The sequence below is a fragment of the Homo sapiens genome, chromosome 21 (genome assembly GCF_000001405.40).
Source record: "Homo sapiens chromosome 21, GRCh38.p14 Primary Assembly".
NCBI classification, from domain to species: Eukaryota; Metazoa; Chordata; class Mammalia; order Primates; family Hominidae; genus Homo; species Homo sapiens.
The window spans coordinates 18,339,111-18,360,490 of record NC_000021.9 but is presented as its reverse complement, the minus strand read 5'-3'; the positions used below and the strand labels follow the sequence as shown (position 1 = coordinate 18,360,490).

The window sequence follows — 21,380 nt, the reverse complement described above, 5'->3', positions numbered from 1 at the left end:
AGTGTGCAGGTTCCTCAAAAAATTAAAAATAGAATTCCCACCTGATCCAGCATTCCCAATTCTGAATATTTATCTGAATGAAATATCTGCACTCCCATGTTCATTTCAGCATTAGTTACAATAAACAAAAGGTAAAAAGAACGTGAGTGTCCATAATCCGATGATTGAACAAAGGAAATGTGATATATATATGAATATTACTCAGTCATAAAGAAGGAAATCTTGTATATCATACAACATAGAAGAACCTTGAGAACATTATGCTAAGTGAAATAAGCCAGTCACAGAGAGATAAATACTGCATGAATTCATTTACATGAAGCATAGAAAGTAGTTAAACTCATGGAAATGAAAGGAGAATGGTGATTGCCAGGGGCTGGGAGGACTAAGCAATGGGAAGTTGTCATTCAGTGATACAGAGTTTCAGTCCTGAAAGAGTTCTAGAGATCTGCTGTACATCATTGTGTTCATAACCGGCAATACTGCACTGTACACTTAAAAATTTAAGAGAGTAGATATCATATTATGTGGTGTTCACCACAAGAAAACACATACAAATTCTAGAATGCATTAAGAAATATGACAACTGTTAAAAATTTGGTAATCTATTTTTTGCTTTTAATTTAGTGTAAACCAAGGACTTTCCATTAAACTGAGCTTCGATGATTTTAATACATATTATACAGATATATTAGATATTTATGAAGGTGTAGGATCAAGCAAGATTTTAAGAGGTAAGTTGAAACAAATATACAATTACTTATGAAAATGAAAATATGTGGGTAAATTTTTGGAGTGGTATGTTTTCCCTTTGATTTTGAAGTGAATATGGACTTGAAACTTATAAAACTAAAAAAAAAACAATTGCTTCTCATTATAAAAATTAGAAAATTAGTGCTCTATGTGGTCTTCATAATAAAGCAGTTACGTTTTAACATTGTCCTCTCCTAATTAATATCTTAAAAATTATGTGAAATTTGTCAAAGGATTATAATTATATATTTGGTTACCATACATTGTTTAAATGTTAGTCCCTATTAACCAAATTCACACAATCCCTGAAAATTACTATTCTGTTTTCTCTGCATTGCGTAGGTTATAAACTCACAGAGGTTCTGTCATTTTTTATGTTCATCCTGCTCCTCGGTCTCCTGCAGGCTATTACTAATAAAGTGGCTAAAACACTGTCTAGCCAAGGAGGTAGGCTAAGTAAATGATAGATGTGGATGGATGGTATTGTTACTATATAACCATTTATCGTTACACATGGACGGGGCTGGAAGCTGAAAAGAGGGCAGGGAATGCCCTAGTAATATGTTTCTATTCATGCCCCTTTATTCCACCGGGCCCCAAAATGCACAGATCTATTCACAGTAACCAGTGAAATTAGGGGCAAAATTCCACGGGGAAATAAAGTGAGGATGAGGTAGAGAATGTGGAAACGAAGCCAAGGGAATAACTAGTTTTCCTCGCATGTTGGAGAAATAGTTAACTGTTCTAGAGCTAAGATAAGGTTGGTGACACCTGTGATTAAATTTTATATAATAACTTTATTTTAAGAACCTTGCCTCTCAAATTGTATTTATACGTAATGAAAAGTGAATCCTATTGAATAATTTTTTACAGATTTAATGATTTGAGAAATATTTAAGCATATGCTAATAATATCTCATTTTTATTAGGTATTGTTGTGTGATACTCTACTGAATAATCAATGTGCATTTTCTTCTTTAATATTTTCAACAAACCTGCAAAATATGTTTTACAGAACAGTAAAATGAGGTATAATATATTAAATTACCATAAGTTCACAGTGTTGGAGGCAGAAATCAAAGCCCAAACTCTCTGACTTGAAACATAATACCATTATTCTTTGTGCCTTAAAAGCCCAAGTAAAAATATCATAATGAGTATATATAAAACATGTGAACTCATGGTAAGTCACATTTGCTCTTAAAAAAAAATGGGCCAACCATTTCATAATCTATTTCTATAGCTGATAGATGCAGTTTTTTAAAATTATGATCAACATAAATATTTACATAGGTGGACAAATAGGTTACTTCATATAAATATTTCCAAAGACTAATGTGACATTAATAAACTTTACCATATATTTTCACCTACACTGTGTAAAGGAGTGTTGTCAGCACTTTGAGTTGACTGACTAAATGCTCTTCCAAACCAATTATGTAGGTGATATTATCATCCCTATTATACAGAAGATAAAATCTAAATTGGTAGAGGTTGAGGGCTGAATAAGTGGTAGGCATAAGATATTCTCATGTTTCTTAACTCTTCAAATACCATGGTCTGTCTAAATATTATTTTCACATGGTTAGGGTATCAGCAATTTGTGAATAAATTTTAAAATGTTTAGCCATAGAGATGTGACTAATATGCAATTAATTGCCATAAAAATATAATAAGAAACTGAATATCCAAGCAGAAAACATCAATGAATATGTAGTTATATTATAATAGGTAGTTGCTTAATTTTAAGATATTCAGAATAATCATTTATTTTAAAGTTTTGAAAATTAAATATTTTAATTATAATCTAAAAATGTGAGAAAGTGTATTGGGTGTTAAATTTTACAATTAAAAATTCTAATTTTTTCTAAGAAAACTAATATTATCTTACAACTGGCATCTAGCACAAAGTCTGGTGTATTGTAGAAACTCAAGGTTTGTTTATTTGAATTTACACCAACTGGGATATATTTCTATCATATGGTATTATAGTGTATAATCAATGGAAACAAGCAGTATTTCCCATAAGTGTAAAGTTAATTTGTATGGTAATAATGCAGATACTTTCATTCTCAAGTCACAAGCTCATCTTTCCCTAAATGTTTTAGCAATTTCTTTATGTGAAAGATGCTTACAAGGTTTGCTTTCATTAAATTCCAATTCAAAATATACAATCTCAAATAGTTATTATTTGTACAATATTGGAAATATATAAATTTTTTACTTAGGGTAAGTGGGATTATATAGAGACAATGTAAGGAATTATCATCATAAAATAGTTGTTATATACCTGATTAGGGGGAAATCAGCATAAACAAATCCTAAAGGCATTTTTTTCCATCATTTTAATCTACAATTGTGATGCAAAAGTTCTCTAACTGCTAAAAAGCATCAGAGAAATACAGACATTGTGTAAAGTGATAGTGCAGTCTTCAAATAATTATGAAAATTGAAGTAAATCAAAATAGAGTGCTGGGAAAGTTATTTCAAAAGTGTTTTCTTTAAGTTGCAATGATGAAGGTATAATATTGAATTCAATGGTTGTAATAATTATTAATACTTCATATGAAAGGGGTAGAAGACGGTGAGTGAGCTTACTTAATTTAGTGGTCACAAAAATCTATAAATGTTTTTATGCATCTTCAAAGAAAGACAACAAAAATGCCTAGGTTAGCACACTGAAAACGGTTTCAAAATGCTTAGCCCAGGAATTGTGTCTCTGAGTGCATAGTTGTTATGCCATTCTTTATATCTCAAGTGCTTAGCTGGTATTCCATTCCCACAGGACTGCTGACAATATATTTCTAATACTGTAGCTTAACATTGTGTAAGGCCATGCTTATCCTGAGGCACACAGAAGTGTGCATAGCTATAGCCAAAGCTATGCAATAAACATAGTGTATATTCCTGAATTGTCAACTTATCCTACAACAAAAATAATCACACTGCATTATGGAATTAAACAATATAGGCAAATATTATTCAAAGTAAAGCATTTTCAACACATTTTGTGCTTTTATTAGGACACTTTTATGTATACTCAGAAGTACCCATTAATTCACTTCTGTTGATAGGGGTATGTTATGTGGAAAAGTTTATTTTAGCAAGCACTAAGTTTGCTTAAGTCATCCCTTCCAGAAATTCTCAAAGATTCGCCAATCATAGTGCCTGGCAAAATTAAAGATTCCTTCTTTGGTACCCCCATAGCATTTTTCCCTTATATAATAATTTTATGGTTATTTTTAATAACTCACCAATATAAATTCTTCTAATAGAGGAAACTGGTTACTTCTTTTCTATGTCATCAGCACTTGGCCCCAGACTAAATTCATAGTGGGCACTCACTAAGACGTGTTGAATATATTAGAAATTATTTTATAATAAAGATGGTACTCTAGTTGCCGCATTTTCACTCTTATAAATTGGATAATATAAGTAGTTTGAACTAGATCTGTTGAATCCTATTCTGTAGAAAGTTGGTCTTCCCCGTCCATTGCCGTCTTTCCAAATTCCCCACATCTGTATCATACTTCTTTCTTCTTTCACAAAACCTATTCACCAGAGCCTTTGCTGTTAGTAGACAAATGATGAGTTAATTCACATTTAAGAGTGACTGCTTGATCAGTCTATGCAAATTAACATCCATAAAAGTTTTGGATTTTTAGTAGAAGACATTGGATTTTCTTAAGGAATGTCTAAAAATTTATCAGTTGTGATATAGGAAAAAAGTCATCCTTTAAAAGATATTAGGTAATTGTTTTCTTTTTCTTTCAACACAAACCCTGTCTCGTTTATGTAGGCAAATTCTATTACTCTGTTTACTCACATCATGATATATGCCCTCAAATATTGATTAAAAATCTCCTATGCTTTGGTACAATGACAGAGGCACAGAAAGCATTAAGTCATGATCTCATCCTTTTCAAGGTTTACAACCTAGTTGGTGAGATAGAGAAGCAAAAGACAGAATTCACTAAGCATTTAGTATATACCAGTCACTGTCTTACATGAGAATTACTTTTACTCCTTATCACAAATCTTTATGGGAAAAAGTTGTAACACTACAGAAGAAAGGCACAGAGTAGTCTAGTAAGACATGGAACCAAGACTCAATCAAATACTGATGCTGGAGCCCCTGCTCTTAACCACTACCCTCCACTACTCCCTGGATTTGTGAAATACATGGCTTTCACTAGATCTGTAGTCCTGGGACTCTTATTAGGCAAGGAGACTTTAAGACTATCTTATGAAAGTTTTGTAAAATCTCTACAGACACATATTCTACACCATTTTAGGAGATTTTCATGTATCTCTGAAGCAGGTTAATGGAATTCAAGGTAAGCTCCTGGACTTTTTAGACTAGCACAGTTCTATTAGATATCGTGAGAATCCAACACACTATGAAATCCAACACACTAAGGGTGTGGTTGAACCACCAACCACATTCAAAGCCAGCCAGAGGCCATTGTCCAAGAGAATTCCATTGCCATGGAATAAAAAGGAAAAAAGAGGCAGATAGGTTTAAAGTTTCTAGAATGTTCACATCCCTTAAGTGACTAACACTTATGAACTCCAAAGGTTTTCAGTATGAGAAGTATTAAAATTACACAGGTATGCATGCTGCCGTAGCAACAGTCTAAATAATAGTTCTTCATAAAAAACATTGAATGCATGACACACATTTTGGGGAAAAACATTAAGATGTGAATCAATGCTTGTTCATGATGTCCTTTCTATTAGATTATGTTGAAATTCCATTGTATGTATCACATTGTTTCCTAATTACTACATAATCACAAGATATCTAATAGTTCATAAAAGTATCTCTTTTCAGAACTCAATGTTAAATAACTCACTGTTATTTCACAGTGGTTCATTGTCTCCTATCTGCAAGTATGGTATTTTTTATAGGCCTGAATCTAATGCCATGCTCAGATTGTCAAACTAAAATGCTAATGCATTGTTTGTTAACACTTTTTTTCATTATCACCTCCACTAAGAGACCATTTCAGGCCTTGTTTTTTTCTAACAGCTCCTCGTGAAAGTCTAATATTTCATATGCACTATATTCTGTGTATCTGTTCGTGGACTGTGGGTATATCTGAGCTTTACACATTTAAAAATTAAAACTGTTTTTCTCCCTCAAAACCAATTTTCACTCCGCTAAAGGCAAGACCACCCCCTTTGAAAATGTATGTGCTGTACATTTTCATAAAAGCAAATTTTATGTAACAATGATTTTGTAAAGCATCATATGGAAGCTTTTTATAATCCTAGTATTATACTAACTCTTGACAATCAAAAATGAAAAAAAAAATCCTCTAAGCAGTTTATACTCAAGACAGACAAATGTTACATCAATATAAAATGCTGTAGAAACAATCTTAAGTCACCTGGTATTATTTTGAGGTCGTATAGTTACAAGCGTAAAGAGCCAAAGAATACTCTTTTGTTTCTGTTATTTTACCCAGATTAAGCCCCTGTGAGTGGGACACAGTAAATACCTGATAAAGCTAAGTTGACTTTAATTTTCAAAACTGCTTAACTAATGTTTCTTAGATGAACTTTGCCAGTAAATGAATGCATCTTTTCTATGTATATATAGTGCATAGAGCTAACAATTAAAAATTAAAAATACCTTTTTTATCAAACCATAAATATGTATAATAATTTGAGGCTTTCTAATGTTTGAGAGAAGAGATATTTTAATTAAAACAAATGTAAGACTAATGCTTTTAGTTAACTAAGTGGTATCAGATAGATATTTGTATAGATCAACTGACAAACTGATAGTTCAGTAGATGGACTGATGGATGGATAGAGAGATGAACAGATAGATATATACATATAACAGTTGTTTATTTTATTTTGTAGCTTCTATTTGGGAAACTAATCCTGGCACAATAAGAATTTTTTCCAACCAAGTTACTGCCACCTTTCTTATAGAATCTGATGAAAGTGATTATGTTGGCTTTAATGCAACATATACTGCATTTAACAGCAGTGAGCTTAATAGTAAGTATTATTTATTTTTTGGCTTTTTAATTTTTAGATGCTTTAATGTTATGATGGAATTTTAAAGGTAGCAGAATCTAAAATTTTCATGATGTAATTTTATAATGAGTATCTTGTATGTGCATCTTTCTCTTCTTAGAACTTAAAAAGAAATGAGAAATTGGACAATGGTTTACATTTTTCAAAGGAATCAAATAACCAATTTGAGAAAACTTATAAATCACTATAAAATCAAATTAAAATTTTATTTGCTGCAAGCATTGCAAGTTAGAAAATACTAGCATAAAACTAATTCAGAGAAAATTCTACATAAACTTAATTTGGATCAAGGTATTAAATTTAGTAACAGGAGAGAGAAAAATATGGAACAAAGTTTCTGTGGGTGAACCAATGGAAACAAGATGTAAAACTTAAAAAATGAGAAACTTATATTTGCTAATACCCTGACAGAGTATAGGAAATGTATTAATTTAACACAGTTGGCAACAAAAAGCTGCTTTAAAAAAAATAAATAGAATGCAACAGAGTTAAGATCAATAAAAAATAATGATTTTGTACATACCACTGAAGTATAAGCTGTATAAGGTTAGATTATTTTCAATACAATCTAATATAACTACTCACATTATGGACTAAATTTTTTTTATTCCTTCTTTTTTTTCATTCACAGATTATGAGAAAATTAATTGTAACTTTGAGGATGGCTTTTGTTTCTGGGTCCAGGATCTAAATGATGATAATGAATGGGAAAGGATTCAGGGAAGCACCTTTTCTCCTTTTACTGGACCCAATTTTGACCACACTTTTGGCAATGCTTCAGGTATAATTCATTTAATTCAGAAGTCAAAAGGATTTTAATTCATAAATCAAAAGGAAAGAGGTATGTGTTGTACTGCAGTGTAAAGTGAGCAGTATTAAATGCAAAAGTCTTTTTGGGTTTTTTAAAAATTCAATTAATTAAATGAAAAATGGTAATCAAACAGGCAAGTAAAAGTGAGTGTGTTTCAAGAAATATATTGGTTTACCCTATATATTTGCAAAATGTTGAAAAGTACACAGAGGTCATTAGAGACAAGACTAGGTTGTCATCCTAGACTTGCCACTTATTATTAACTAAGTAGATTTGAGTGAGGCAATTAGCTTTTCTGAAGTTTGGTCTATTTGTCTTAATTTCGTTTTCTGATTGTACATTGCTAATGCACAGAAATAAAATGGATTTTTGCATATTGATCTTAGACCCAACAGCAGTCCTGCTGAATTTGTTTGTTATCTCCGATGTTCCTTTAAAGAATTCCTTAGCATTTTCAACATACAAGATTGCATAATCTTGAAACAAAGATAGACTTGCTTCTTCTGAGAAGCCCTATGGAAGTCTGATTCTAAAGCATGCTAATAGGGCAAGGTTGTGATTTCTAAGTACATTTTTCATCTGAATGAGATATTAGAATTGATGCCAGGTGGAAATATTAGAGACAATAATATTTTGCTGAGAAACCAGAAATCGTGGTGAAATATTAGAAGCTAAGGAACTTGTAGTGGGAAGATCAATCATGAAAGTCTTGGAACACATATTCATAATACCAAATATAATCACTGAAGTGAGAGTTACAAATCTTAGAAGGAATGTATAAGGAAAATTACAAAAAAACAGTGAAAAGTTGTGAATTTATATAATTTTCTTAGTCAAAATTCATCTTATAATATGACTTGCTGATAAGAATACTATCTCATTCAAACAAACGTTAAAAGCCACCTCTAACCAGCTATGGTTCTAGGCATTAAGGATACAGGTCATATACAGTAACTTCCACAAAGTCTGTCCAAAACTTCCAAGTTGAAATTTTTTTTCCCTTAAATATTCTAAGCACCTCTTCCATTTTTCCTATTATATAGCATTATATTTACTCACTTATTTGTTTCTTTTTACCACAGTATTCTTTTCAGGAACAAAAACCTAGTCTCTTTTAACTTTGAATTAATAGGGCATGTATTAGTCCATTTTCACACTGCCATAAAGAAATACCTGAGACTGGGTAATTTATAAAGGAAAGAGGTTTCATTGACTCATAGTTCTGCATGGCTGGGGAGGTCTCAGGACACTTATAATCATGGCAGAAGGCAAAGCAGACACGTCTTACGTGGCTGCAGGCAAGAGACAGTGAGTGTGTTTAGGAAGAAATGTCAAACACATATAAAACCACCAGATCTTGTGGGAACTCACCATTATGAGAACGGCATTGAAAAAATTGCCCCCGTGATCCCATCACTCCCACCAGGTCCTGCCCTCAGCACATGGGGACTATGTAGATTACAATTGGAGATGAGATTTGGGTGGGGACACAGAGCCAAACCATATCAGGTATTCTCAGTGCATGAATGTAATTAACATGCAAAATTATTTTTGAATATGTAAATAAATATCTACAACTTTGACTCAAGTAATTTCTGAATAAGTTATTGACTGAATAAAATAGTTTCTAAAGTTAACAAAAATTCTAAGCAAATTGGCATTGCAATTTGGTATTAATGACCAATTACGAAGATTAATATTCCTGATTTTAAGACCTGAAAATTAAGTGGTTGATTTAACATAAATTGTGAGTGACATTTAGTTAAAGGACTTTAAAGAGTTAATTTTTTTCAAGATAGAAATATATCTGACTAATCCTACTTCTTTAGAGAATGATATCCCTAGAATATCAAAATATGGTTCATCACACTATTTCAACTTAATAAAAATAGATTTTAGTAAAAAGTGACTACTTTAATATATTTCAGAGTCATCAGTAAAAGCCCCTTCAAATGTATTATTTTGTTCTTTTATTTAAGAAGCATTTATTGAGCTCCAGGCCTTATTCAAGTCATTCAGAATATATCTGTGAACAAAATAAACCAAATTTTCTGCTCTCATGAAACACAAATTCTAGCAAGAAAAAACAGAGAATAGGAAATTATATATATATGTATATATATAATTAATTGTTCCTTGGTGTGTTAAATGTGAATAGGTACTTTGGGAAAATATGAAGCTTTGTAAGAGGATGGGGAGGGTGGGGCTAAGATGCTGTTACAAATTAGAAGAAGATGAGCAGTAAGTCTCATTGAAAAAGTGACATTTGAATCAAAACTGTAAGGAATTGAAAGAATTAGCCACACAGATTATTCCAGGCAGAGGGAACATGACTGATCTGTTGAAAGATAGTTTGTGCGAGGGCAAGAGTGTTGAAAAGAGACTGGTGGAAGGCCATTGCCTAACTAGAGAAGAGGTCATGAGACTCAGATCAGTGGGAGCAGATGTGGTGAGAAAAGGTCAGATTCTGAATATAGTTTTTAACTGAAGCCAACAGGATCCAGCTAAATGAGTCACCAGTGTGGGCCTTCACATAAAAAATGTTCTTTATGTAAATTGCCAACCCCGTAAGACAAAAAAAGTTTAGTGTTGAAAATGATGACATGAATACTCTCATACATAATTAATCTTCTTTGAATAAGTTATTTCCCAGTGCCTGATTCTCCATGGAAAAATCACTAATTACACAGCTGAAAACTAACCCCTACATGATAATCACCCCAACTCTCTGAAGGGGTCTGGCCTAAAACAGTCAAATAATCTGATCTTTTTTTTTCTCTTTACTGTAATTAAAAAAAAGTTTCTACCACACTTGGACAAGAGTAGTTAGAGGAAAGTGCAAAAAGCATTTATATCTATTGACTATGACAGATACCTTTTATGTGGTTGAAATCTCTGATGTTCAAATTATCATTTTTCTGCTCTTATGTCATCCTAATAAGAGATAAAGTAACTCCACTGATATTTGAAGAGCATAAGTACATTAAAGGGGAAAATGTTTTCGGCTTGCCAACAGATTAAATAACTAAGGAAATAAGATGAAACTGACCAAAGTGAAACGGGTTGAATGTCAAGTGGAGGTTTTAAATAGTCGGGTCTGAAATGAAGTCTCAGGAGAAAGCGTAGTAGCAGGAGTTTTTTAAAATTAGACAAGTCATATAATGAGGACAGATGATAGGATTTAATAGGTCCTCTCCAACTCCCATACCTGTGATTTCATAATCAACCAGTCATTCCTCTCCAAAGGGCGTTTTTCTTCTAGCCTGCTTTTTTATGTGTCAGAACATCCTATCTCTGAAATGAAAGAGAATTAAATATTTCTGGATGTTCCTCTTATCCAGGCAGGTTTGTTGTTTGTATTGTTGTTTTGTTCTTTGCCTTTACCTTAAGTGACAGAAAAGACTAAATGAAACAGATAAACTTTGAATTAATACTGCTTTAGGTAAGAACACCTAAGCCTCTTAATTTTTCTAGTCCTTCTGAAGAACTCTCTTCTGGTGAAGCAATGGCTTCTAAATCTCTGTATTGTCAGCAGTCAGGGTTTCTCTGTACCTCTTAGAAGCAAAAGGAATTGGTCAAGAAGGTGGTGTTGAGGCAGGACAGCATCTTGAGGTGCTCAGAAGTGGCCCATTCATTTAGAAGGCTCAGGACAAATGAGGTTCATAATATGTGGAAACTTCAGAAATATAGGGATCGCAGAGGACTACATAGCTCAAATAAAATGTTTCTTTCGTTTCCTTTACCAGTGAAATTGCAATTGTTTGTAATACTGTGGGAGGTAGTATAGTTTAGTAGTAAAAACCATTGAAATACAGACCCTGGAGTCTTAGCCAGGTTTAAATCTTAGCCCTGCCATTTAGGCAAGTTTCCTATCTTCTATTTCTGTCCCAATTCCCTTATCTGGAAAGTGAGGTTGAGGACAATAGGACCTGCCATTAAAGGCATGTAATAAACATTAAATTGATTGCTATGTTTAGAAAAAAACTCTGAAAAATGGCTGACACATAGGAAGTGCTATATAAATGTTAGGTATTATAACTACTTTCTTTTCATACTGCAAAAGTATTCGAGAAACATACATTGGCTGTGGTACTGTTCTAAGTCATATGTTGGGGAGGAAAATAGTCACTCTGCTCAATTTTCAAAATCATATTAGTTCTTTCAGATATCTTCATTTAACTTAGCATATAAACTTTTTCTAAAATAAGTGTAACTTTAATGTTTTAAAAGTAACATTTTTATTTTCCTATCTTTCCTGTGATGTTGAATTTTAGAAAATAATATTACTTTCTAAAATTGATAAAATCTGACTGAATTTAGGCCATGCATCAGTTTAAGCTTTTAATAATATTTATCTACTAGGTTCAGCTAATTTTACATATGTATTTACAAATCATGAAACAATTTGCATCAGCCTATTTCCTTCTTGAGAGGGATTTCTAGGATCTCAGGAAGTTCTACTATCTCTCCAGTTTCTGCTATCTCTATATCAGATCAGCACATGCTCAGAAGTTTTGCTTTTTAATTAGGATGTTGGGTGGAGAGAGACTAGGTTCAATTCATGAAGAGATAAGCAGGAAAAAGTGATGGAAAGGAGTTTTAAGAAAAACCTAATAGTTCAAAAAAGAGATCATTACAAGCTTAAGTAAACAAAGTGTATTCAATTTTCTGGGGCTTATTTATTTGTTTAGAGACAGGATCACTCTGTCTCCCAGACTGGAGTACAGTGGCATAATCATAACTCACTGCAGCCTCAAACTCCTGGGCTCAAGAGATACTCCCACCTCAGCCTCCTGAGTAGCTGGGATCACAGGTGCATTCTACCACACCCAGCAATTTTTTTAAATTTTTTATAGAGATGGGGCCTCATTATGTTGTCAAACTCCCCCTTCTCTTTTTTGTAAAAACAGCCACAGCTATCATTATTATTAGTATAAGGTGGCCTCTTTTTTTAAATTAAGAGATCTTCCTGCCTTGGACTCCCAAATTGCTGGGATTACAGATGGGAGCCACTATGGCTGGCCAATATCCTGGGTTTTAAGTTGACTGAGATTGATTCTAAGAGCTCTAGAAAACATTTCAAGGAAGTCAAAGGGTTTTAGAAGAAATTATTTTTGACCATATAAATTCCCATGTGGTTATGAAAAAATCTCTTCAGTTGTTCCTTTTATGTAGAAATTTAATAAATTTAAAAGCAAAGCAAATCTGTAACAAAAATATGTTAAACAACAGACAGCTAATTCATATCAAGACAGAAAAAAAATGAACAAAGTGTCTTTCTTGTTTCCAAAAGTTCTAGCAAGTTTAAAAAGTCACATATAAACATAAATAAAATATACAACAGGCCAGGTGCAGTGGCTGATGCCTGTAATCCCAACACATCCAAGGCAGGCGGATCACCTGAGATCAGGAGTTTGAAAGCAGCCTGGCTAACATGGCGAAACTCCATCTCTACTAAAAATACAAAAATTAGCCAGCCATGGTGGCGTGAGCCTGTAGTCCCAGCTACTCTGGAGGCTGAGGCAGGAGATTCACTTGAACCACCGGAGGCAGAGGTTGCAATGAACCAAGATTGGCTACCGCACTCCAGCCTGAATGATGGAGTGAAACATCATCTCAAGAAAAAAAATATATACATGACAGAATATGCCGAATGACATCAGAGAAGTACAAAGTGCCACCGAGAATTCAAAAGAAAAAGTGGTTACTTTTAATTGGGAGGCTTTCTGAAGGAGATGACAGTTTGATTTAAATGACCTCAAAAAATTGATACGATTTTAACAAGGTACAATTGGAAGGGGAAGTGGAAGGAGGTAAAAGAGAAAAAAGAAGACACAAAGTGTCAAAAAATTTCTAGGTGTTTGGAAATATTAAAATTATCTAATTTTGCAGAAGTGCTCTATGGAAATAGATGAAGTATAGGTGCAATAGCCGGAAAATGACATTGAGGTCATAACACAGGGGCCTCAAATATCAGACTGTATTTGTATTTGGTTTAATAAGAAATAAAGAGATAATAAAAGATCTTGAATAAGGGGCTAATTTGATTGTGCATAAGAAAGTATTATTGAGCAATGGTGTAAGAGATGATTCCCAAGAAGACTCAGAGAGCTAGAAGTGAGATGCACTTGGAAATAGTGACAATGATGGTCTGTCTTCAGTAATAGTTCCATGCGTTGGGATGTTTCTACTCTGCTCCCTGGTGAGATAGCGCAACAGACATGTTGTGTGAATGTGAGTTTCCATACTTTAAGTGGAAGCAACTGAATGTACAGCTAATTGACGGCTTCTCAAATTAAAGAAGCAAACTGAAACTGCCTTAATAAAATTATTTAAGGAAAAAAAAGTGATGGATAATCTTGAGAAGACTTAGGAGAGATGTAATAGTGGCCTTTAAACTTCTGTAGAGCTAACAAATATGTTATATTGTAAATAGTCCCACAAGGCAAAATTAGTTATAATAGGTGCGTATAAGCTTATTTTTTTAAAAAAGAAAATAATTTTCTAATCATGTTGAAACGGAATGGGATGCCTTGGAATAGAATAATTTCTTCTGCATCTGGCATCTGTTAACCAGAGATCAAGTGATCCCTTAGGGCAAAATGTTATAGATGAAATTTAAGGACAATTAGTGGTTAGACTAAGTACAGTTTTATGTAAACTGCAAATCTCTACTCTTAAACTTTAGCATTTTATGAAGGCTTTTATTCATCTTCTAATTTGTTAACTAAAGAATGTAGCTGATATCACAAAAATAGCAATTTAATGTTATATATTATTTTACTATATTCAATAATATGCAATTCTATATGATATTTACTCTAGGCAAGATTTATAAGGTACTATAGTCTACATAATTAATTATGTTTTACTTGATCACTGACAAAAGAAATCATAGCATCATATTTTGATCATACTGAAAACTCCAAATATATCACTGCTTACTAAGTGAAAAACAGATTCAAACTATTTCAAATTAATTATAACTATTGACTGTGAACATGGCCAAACATAAATAGGAGCATGATGTGTGTTTATATAATTGTAGCTAATTAGAAATTTTTCTGAATAGGCTAACCATTTGAGTATTTATTCATGATATTCAGTGGATTTTTTTTTTTTTTTTTTTTTTGAGACGGAGTCTCACTCTGTCGCCTAGGCTGGAGTGCAGTGGCACGACCTCGGCTCACTGCAAGCTCCACCTCCCGGGTTCACGTCATTCTCCTGCCTCAGTGTCCCGAGTAGCTGGGACTACAGGCGCCCGCCACCACGCCCAGCTAATTTTTTGTATTTTTTGTAGAGACGGGGTTTCGCCGTGTTAGCCAGGATGGTCTGGATCTCCTGACCTCGTGATCCGCCCGCCTCGGCCTCCCAAAGTGCTGGGATTACAGGAGTGAGCCACCGCTCCCAGCCATTCAGTGGTATTTTAATTATTTCTTCCCCAGTTATGTTCTAAGTAATCAAAAGTAAGGTAAATTCAAAAGCGATTTGGAGTTGTGCATTTAAAGAGTAGATTCTGGGACCTCTCTTCTGTATCTAGGCCACTCTTCTCCATGCAGTCATATAATTAGAACACTAACAAAATAGCTAAGATATGTACTCATGAAATATTACAGCATTATATAAAATAGGAGTAATGTGTTAATAATATAAAATTTTAAACACATTATTAACAGTTTGTCATACAAAGCAAATGAATGTGTACATATTACATTTATTAAGCCACTTGACCATAATTTCACCTTGATAAAACACTCATTTATTCTGAATAATTTTTGCCTCACTGGTCTAAATATGCATTGATATACCTATAGGCAGTTCTACTAGCTTCTTTTCTTTATGCCTTGTTCTTACTTTGCATCTCATAAATGAATGAGTTTAAAGTTTATATGCAACATTGCCTATATTTTTCTGTTGCAAAGCACAAGAGAGAAGATGCTTGATTTCAAGTAAACACTAAATTTCATCATCTCATAAAAAATTGCATTCCAATCAAATTAGATTAATCCAACATCACATTTGCTTTATATAATATTTAGTTACATGATTCTCGCTTCCTGTCATAATATGTGAGCAGGAAACTAAGAATAAAATAAATTCCCCTAAGAAAATGTTCAAAATGTTATCCCAACAACCCTTCACAAACTTCAAATGACTGAAATCATTGGTTGGAATAATGAATTTCAGACCAGCAAGCACTTTATGCAGTGGCTTGTGCTATTTTGAAAGTTTTATACGGATTAGCATGCTTTCTGCTTCTCAGTGATCTGATTACTTATCGTTCATAGGAATAAAGAAAGATAAGACTGTTTTAAAATAAGGCAGGTTCTTATTTAGAGATATGAAGTGTTCAGTGAAATATAAAACTGAAAATCTTAGAAACTCTTAAATTTGCCTTCAAATTTGTATTTAAATATATGTGTATATTCTGAGTTAGTCCACCAGCATCTCTAGATATCCTCATGTGAATTAATCAAAATATCTAGTAAACTAGAATTAAGTCAGGAATTGGACTGGATAATTTAGTGACTCATAATAAGTCAGAATTTTATATATCCTTGGTGGTACTCCACTTCAAGACTCTTGTTTAATAAAGTGGGAGGCCCAGTGTTAAGCTATTTTTGTCAATAACAATCTGTTATGGCAAAAATACTGCTTTCTGAGCTCGAGTCTAGTGTCCTGTCCACTATATTAAAATATATTTCCTTAACCTTTCTTCTTAAAGTTTTTCTTTCCTGCTTACAAAGTCTACTTGTCACACAATGAAAATGCAATATTTAAGTGAAATAAATTTTTTTTGATATTTTTACAGGATTTTACATTTCTACCCCAACTGGACCAGGAGGGAGACAAGAACGAGTGGGGCTTTTAAGCCTCCCTTTGGACCCCACTTTGGAGCCAGCTTGCCTTAGTTTCTGGTATGTTGTAGACACCTGTTTAAACGCTGTCTTTTTTAATGGGTAACATTGCCTTGCTCAGGCCACCAGGCTCATATTTCACTAAGATGTTGGCTAAAGTTTTAATGCATATACTATTACTTTTCCCAACTGATAAGCAATAAAACATTGATAGACACCTCTCCCCATCCCCAGCAACTCCAAAACCCAGAAGGAAAAAAAGATTATTTCAAAGAAAGTAAAAAATGTAGAAAAGCTCTGAAAAGGACTTATTCTAATGTTGTAGGAATCCAAACATTTTTGCTTCTTTCCAAACTAGGTATCATATGTATGGTGAAAATGTCCATAAATTAAGCATTAATATCAGCAATGACCAAAATATGGAGAAGACAGTTTTCCAAAAGGAAGGAAATTATGGAGACAATTGGAATTATGGACAAGTAACCCTAAATGAAACAGTTAAATTTAAGGTTTGCAAAATACTTTATTATTTATATTTGTATCCTTTTTGTGGTGGAACAATTATATTTAGAATGATACAGTGAAAAAATTAATGTATTTTCTGAAGATAATCAAGTCACTTTCTCTACTTGCCCAATCTACCTCACATTTTACCTTGGAGTATTTTATTTTTATTTATTCAATAGCCTATTAAAAACCATCATTGAGGAACAATGTACTAATGAAAATACAGCTTATAATGGTCCATAAAATACATCGAAGTCTTTTAGAATATTTCAGCTTCCTTCAGCAACTTTCTAGCATAGGCCAACCATTTATCTCTAAGCCCTCTGCCTACCTACAATTTTCAGCTTTTCACAAATACCACCTAGGTCAACCCTGCCCTTTTCTATGCCTATGCCCATAGGCATCCACCCACCCTGCCCCACTCTGATTTAATCTCCATGTATTTCCTTTAGAAACAAATTATATGAGCTGTAGCATTGGGAAGTCTCTGATCATTTATTTCACATTAAGGTGAATTAATTTTTCAAATAACACTTTAATGTGTTCTCTTCCTGAGGGTCTTTGCAATTAAAATATGGCATAATAGAGGCTATTAGTTTGACCAAATTAATAATGTTTTAAATGGGTAATTTCAAACACAAGAGTATCACTTTCAGAAGATGTATATTTGGACAGACACTGCCATCATCAAAGGCTTCAGATTTTCCCCGTGACTTGGTGTAAGGCAATAATTAATGACTCTCAACCGTTTTCCTCCCATCATTCTTTCTTTCCTTCTCTTCCTTTTTCCTTCTTTCTTCTTCTTTGATCCTTTTATGGGACGTTTCCTCTCCAATTTTGTTTTCTGATAATTCAGAGAAGGGTAAGGGAAAATGGAAAGGCCAGGGAGAAAAGAGACAGCAGAAGGGGAAGTCAGTATTGCAGTGGCCAGATGTGGCTATACTCATTGAGCGTCTTTTCTAAAGTAATATAATTGGATCCAGTTTCTCACAGCTCATGAGGTGGTGCGAGAGAGTCAAGTTCTACAGATACGTGCACTTTGGCTTTGCCATTTTGTTGTGAAATCATGAGCAAGTCACCATAGTCTCCTTGAAATTTAATTAGGTCATATGTGTAAGGAAGAAAATAATACCTACTGGAATAATGTCTGGCATGAAGTAGGTGGAATGAATAAACAAATGAGTGAATGAATGAGTGTTGAAAATTAAATAAGATCAATGTATACCATGTGCCTAGCATAGCAAATAGCATATAGCAGACATTCAATTTATGTCTTTCCTCTTCTACATAGCACAGGATCCAGGAAAGTACAGCTAAAATACCCACTGTTCCTGAGAACCTAATATGTTACCTCTGGCCACTGGACCTTTCTTCCAAATCTCGTTCTGTGTCCTCCGGGCACCACCCTTGCACAGTATCCCACATCAACACCCTGGGTGAACTGTGACCAGTAACAGCTGGCCCTGAATGATCGTTTTACACTCATACTCTCTCTCGTCCCCTTCACCCCCAGTGTGTTTTCTCTTCAGGCTTTGTATGCTCTAAGAAGGAAGAAAACTACCTGAATGTTTAATATTGCTGAAAGAAGAAATTTGGGAGAAAATTGCTTTCTCCTGCCAGATGATATATATGCATGACAGAGTACAATGGAATATGACAATATCATAAGAGAGACACAGACAGAGATATAGAAACTGTAACAATATTGACTAATTCAGAAGGAAGACATCATTGGAAATTTAGCCAGTGTGAACACATAATAAGGGGGTTGGGTTCAGCAGAAGAATTTAAAAAGCATGATCTGTCAAGATTTCACTATGTAGTAACGGTCACCATATAGTTCAAGGTGACAATATTGAATCTCTAGACAATATTGAATCTCTTGGGCTCACAAGAAGAATCAAGTCAGAGAAGATTAGAATGGAATCAAATCGTTTCATATGCCTCTCTGAATTGCAGGTTGCTTTTAATGCTTTTAAAAACAAGATCCTGAGTGATATTGCGTTGGATGACATTAGCCTAACATATGGGATTTGCAATGGGAGTCTTTATCCAGAACCAACTTTGGTGCCAACTCCTCCACCAGAACTTCCTAGTAAGTAACCTTCATGTGTATTTTGTCTTATTAAATCATTAACGTCAGGTGTGGAGGCTCACAGCTATAATTCCAGCACTTCGGGAGGCTGAAGCAGGAGGATTGCTTGAAGCCAGGAGTTTGAGACCAGCCTGAGGATTACAGCGAGACTCTGTCTCTACAAAACAAAACAAACAAACACAAATTAGCTGGGCACAGTGGTGCATACCTGTAGTCCCAGCTACCGGAGAGGCTGAGGCAGGAGGGACTCTTGAGCCTGAGAGATTGAGGCTGTTGTGAGCTGTAATCATGTCACTGCACTCCAGCCTGGGCAACAGAGTAAGACTCTGTCTCTAGAAAATCAAAACAAAACAAAAAACAATAATTATTTTCAGGTAGATCTTCCTTTGGCTTATTATCTCAACCTACTGTTATTTATTTTTCCTGAAAATCAAAGACTTCAAAATATAAACCAAATGGAGGCTAGCAAAATATTACATGTTACACATAAATCCACAATGAAAACCACTCTTCGTTATTGAGCATATTAATGATCATTTTAGTATCTTTCTTATATTTGAAAGTAATAAAGGAGCTGGTTTCCATTTTGTTTTCACTGGAATACAAACAAATGTTGTACTGGCCACGTGGCATGGTCTGTAGTCTTTGGGGAGGGTGCCTTGAGGTTTTTGTGGGCTTCTTAAGGAGTAATTTTAAGAGTTTAGTTAAATCTGAAACCTACTGTGTCTATTTTTAAAATAATTTAATAACAATGACTAATCAAGCCTGGACTTTGAACATACAGACATAGATCACCTAAAATATTTTTGTCCTAAATAGTGGCGGTATTAGTCAGCGTTCTCTAGAGGGACAGAACTCATAGGATAGATGTGTATATGAAACAGAGTTTTTAAGGAGTATTGACTCACATGATCACAAGGTGAAATTTCATAATAGGCCATCTGCAAGCTTAGAGCAAAAAAGCCAGTCCAAGTCCCCAAACCTCAAAAGTAGGAAAGCTGATTGTGCAGCCTTCAGTCTGTGGCCAAAGGCCTGAGAGCCTCTGGCAACCAGGTGTAGGTCCAAGAGTCTGAAAGCTGAAGAACTTGGAGTCTGATGTTTGAGGGCAGGAAGCATCCAGCATGGGGGAAAGATGAAGGCCAGAAAATTCAGCCAGTCTAATCCTTCCATGTTCTTCTGCCTGCTTTTATTCTAGCTGTGCTGGCAGCTGATTATATTGTGCCTACCCAGACTGAGAGTGGGTCGGCCTTTCCCAGTCCCCTGACTCAAATGTTAATCTTCTTTGGCAACACCCTCATAGACACACCCAGGAACAATACTTTGCATCCTTCAATCCAATCAAGCTGGCATTCAATATTAACTATCACAGTACCTTTGTAAGGCTTTGGCATATGTTTCTTTCATGGATCCACTCATGTGTTACTCCTGAGAAGTGACCAAGGTTCACAATGTCCTATAAGATCTTTTAAGTCAAAAGAACCAAATCGAGCCTGTGTCTACTTGTGCTCTTAAGTCAAATTGGAAGCGTGACATTTCAGAACAAAACCCATTACCATTCAAATTATCCATGTCAAAGAAGACAATCACTTCATACTACTTTCAGATTAGGGGTTTGACAGATAAACAAAGAAAAAGAAAAATGCCTATGATAATAAATAATTACAAACATCCACTGACTTTCTATAGGGATTTTTTCACTACACTTGTTTTTATGCAAAAAAAACAATGCTTTTTTCTTTGGATTGTGGTGGTTGGAAGCTGACTTAGCTCTACGGCTTTGCTTGGGTTAAACCTCATGTGTGTTTTGTTCTGCATGGATCTGATCCCACAAACGCAGTACTTTTTCCATTTCTCATTTTCTTTGAAGCACACTTAATACTTTTACCAAATTATATCAGCAAATCAGTTTGGAGAGCCTATCCAAATTTGGTTTACTTCCAAAACTATATCTTTTTCTGCTTCCAATCTTCAAGGAAAAAAAGCAGACTTTTCAGATGAGTGGCTTTAACAATGAAAAGGATCTAAAGGTTAATTATGGGTATTTAAGAACATGTAACAAATGAGCTACCATTAGGTTGAAGACAGTAGTTATATTGTCATATTGATCCCATGCCACCATATTGAATGAGCACTTACATTCCTCCAAAAGATCGGTTTGCTTTTACTATCTTGTGTATTAACATGTTTAGATGCTTATATGAGATATATATGTTACTCAATATTTAATCATTCATTCAAATTTTATAAATATCTGCCATCTGCTAAACACTGCAGATGAAATGTAAGATGTAGCAATAACCAT

At 34.1% G+C, this 21,380-nt stretch overlaps 1 protein-coding gene across 8 annotated transcripts in view; it reads left to right on the top strand.

Moving 5' to 3' along the window:
- The window catches only part of TMPRSS15 (transmembrane serine protease 15), a 216,769-nt gene that overhangs the window by 125,394 nt on the left and 69,995 nt on the right, over positions 1-21,380 (top strand). For all 8 annotated transcript variants that reach the window (NM_001428057.1, NM_001428056.1, XM_047440913.1 and 5 more), the window contains 6 exons: positions 628-734; positions 6,628-6,768; positions 7,439-7,588; positions 16,431-16,536; positions 16,835-16,985; positions 18,943-19,078. In NM_001428057.1, coding sequence (NP_001414986.1) covers positions 628-734; positions 6,628-6,768; positions 7,439-7,588; positions 16,431-16,536; positions 16,835-16,985; positions 18,943-19,078 — 791 coding nt within the window. The remainder of the gene's footprint in view (positions 1-627; positions 735-6,627; positions 6,769-7,438; positions 7,589-16,430; positions 16,537-16,834; positions 16,986-18,942; positions 19,079-21,380) is intronic.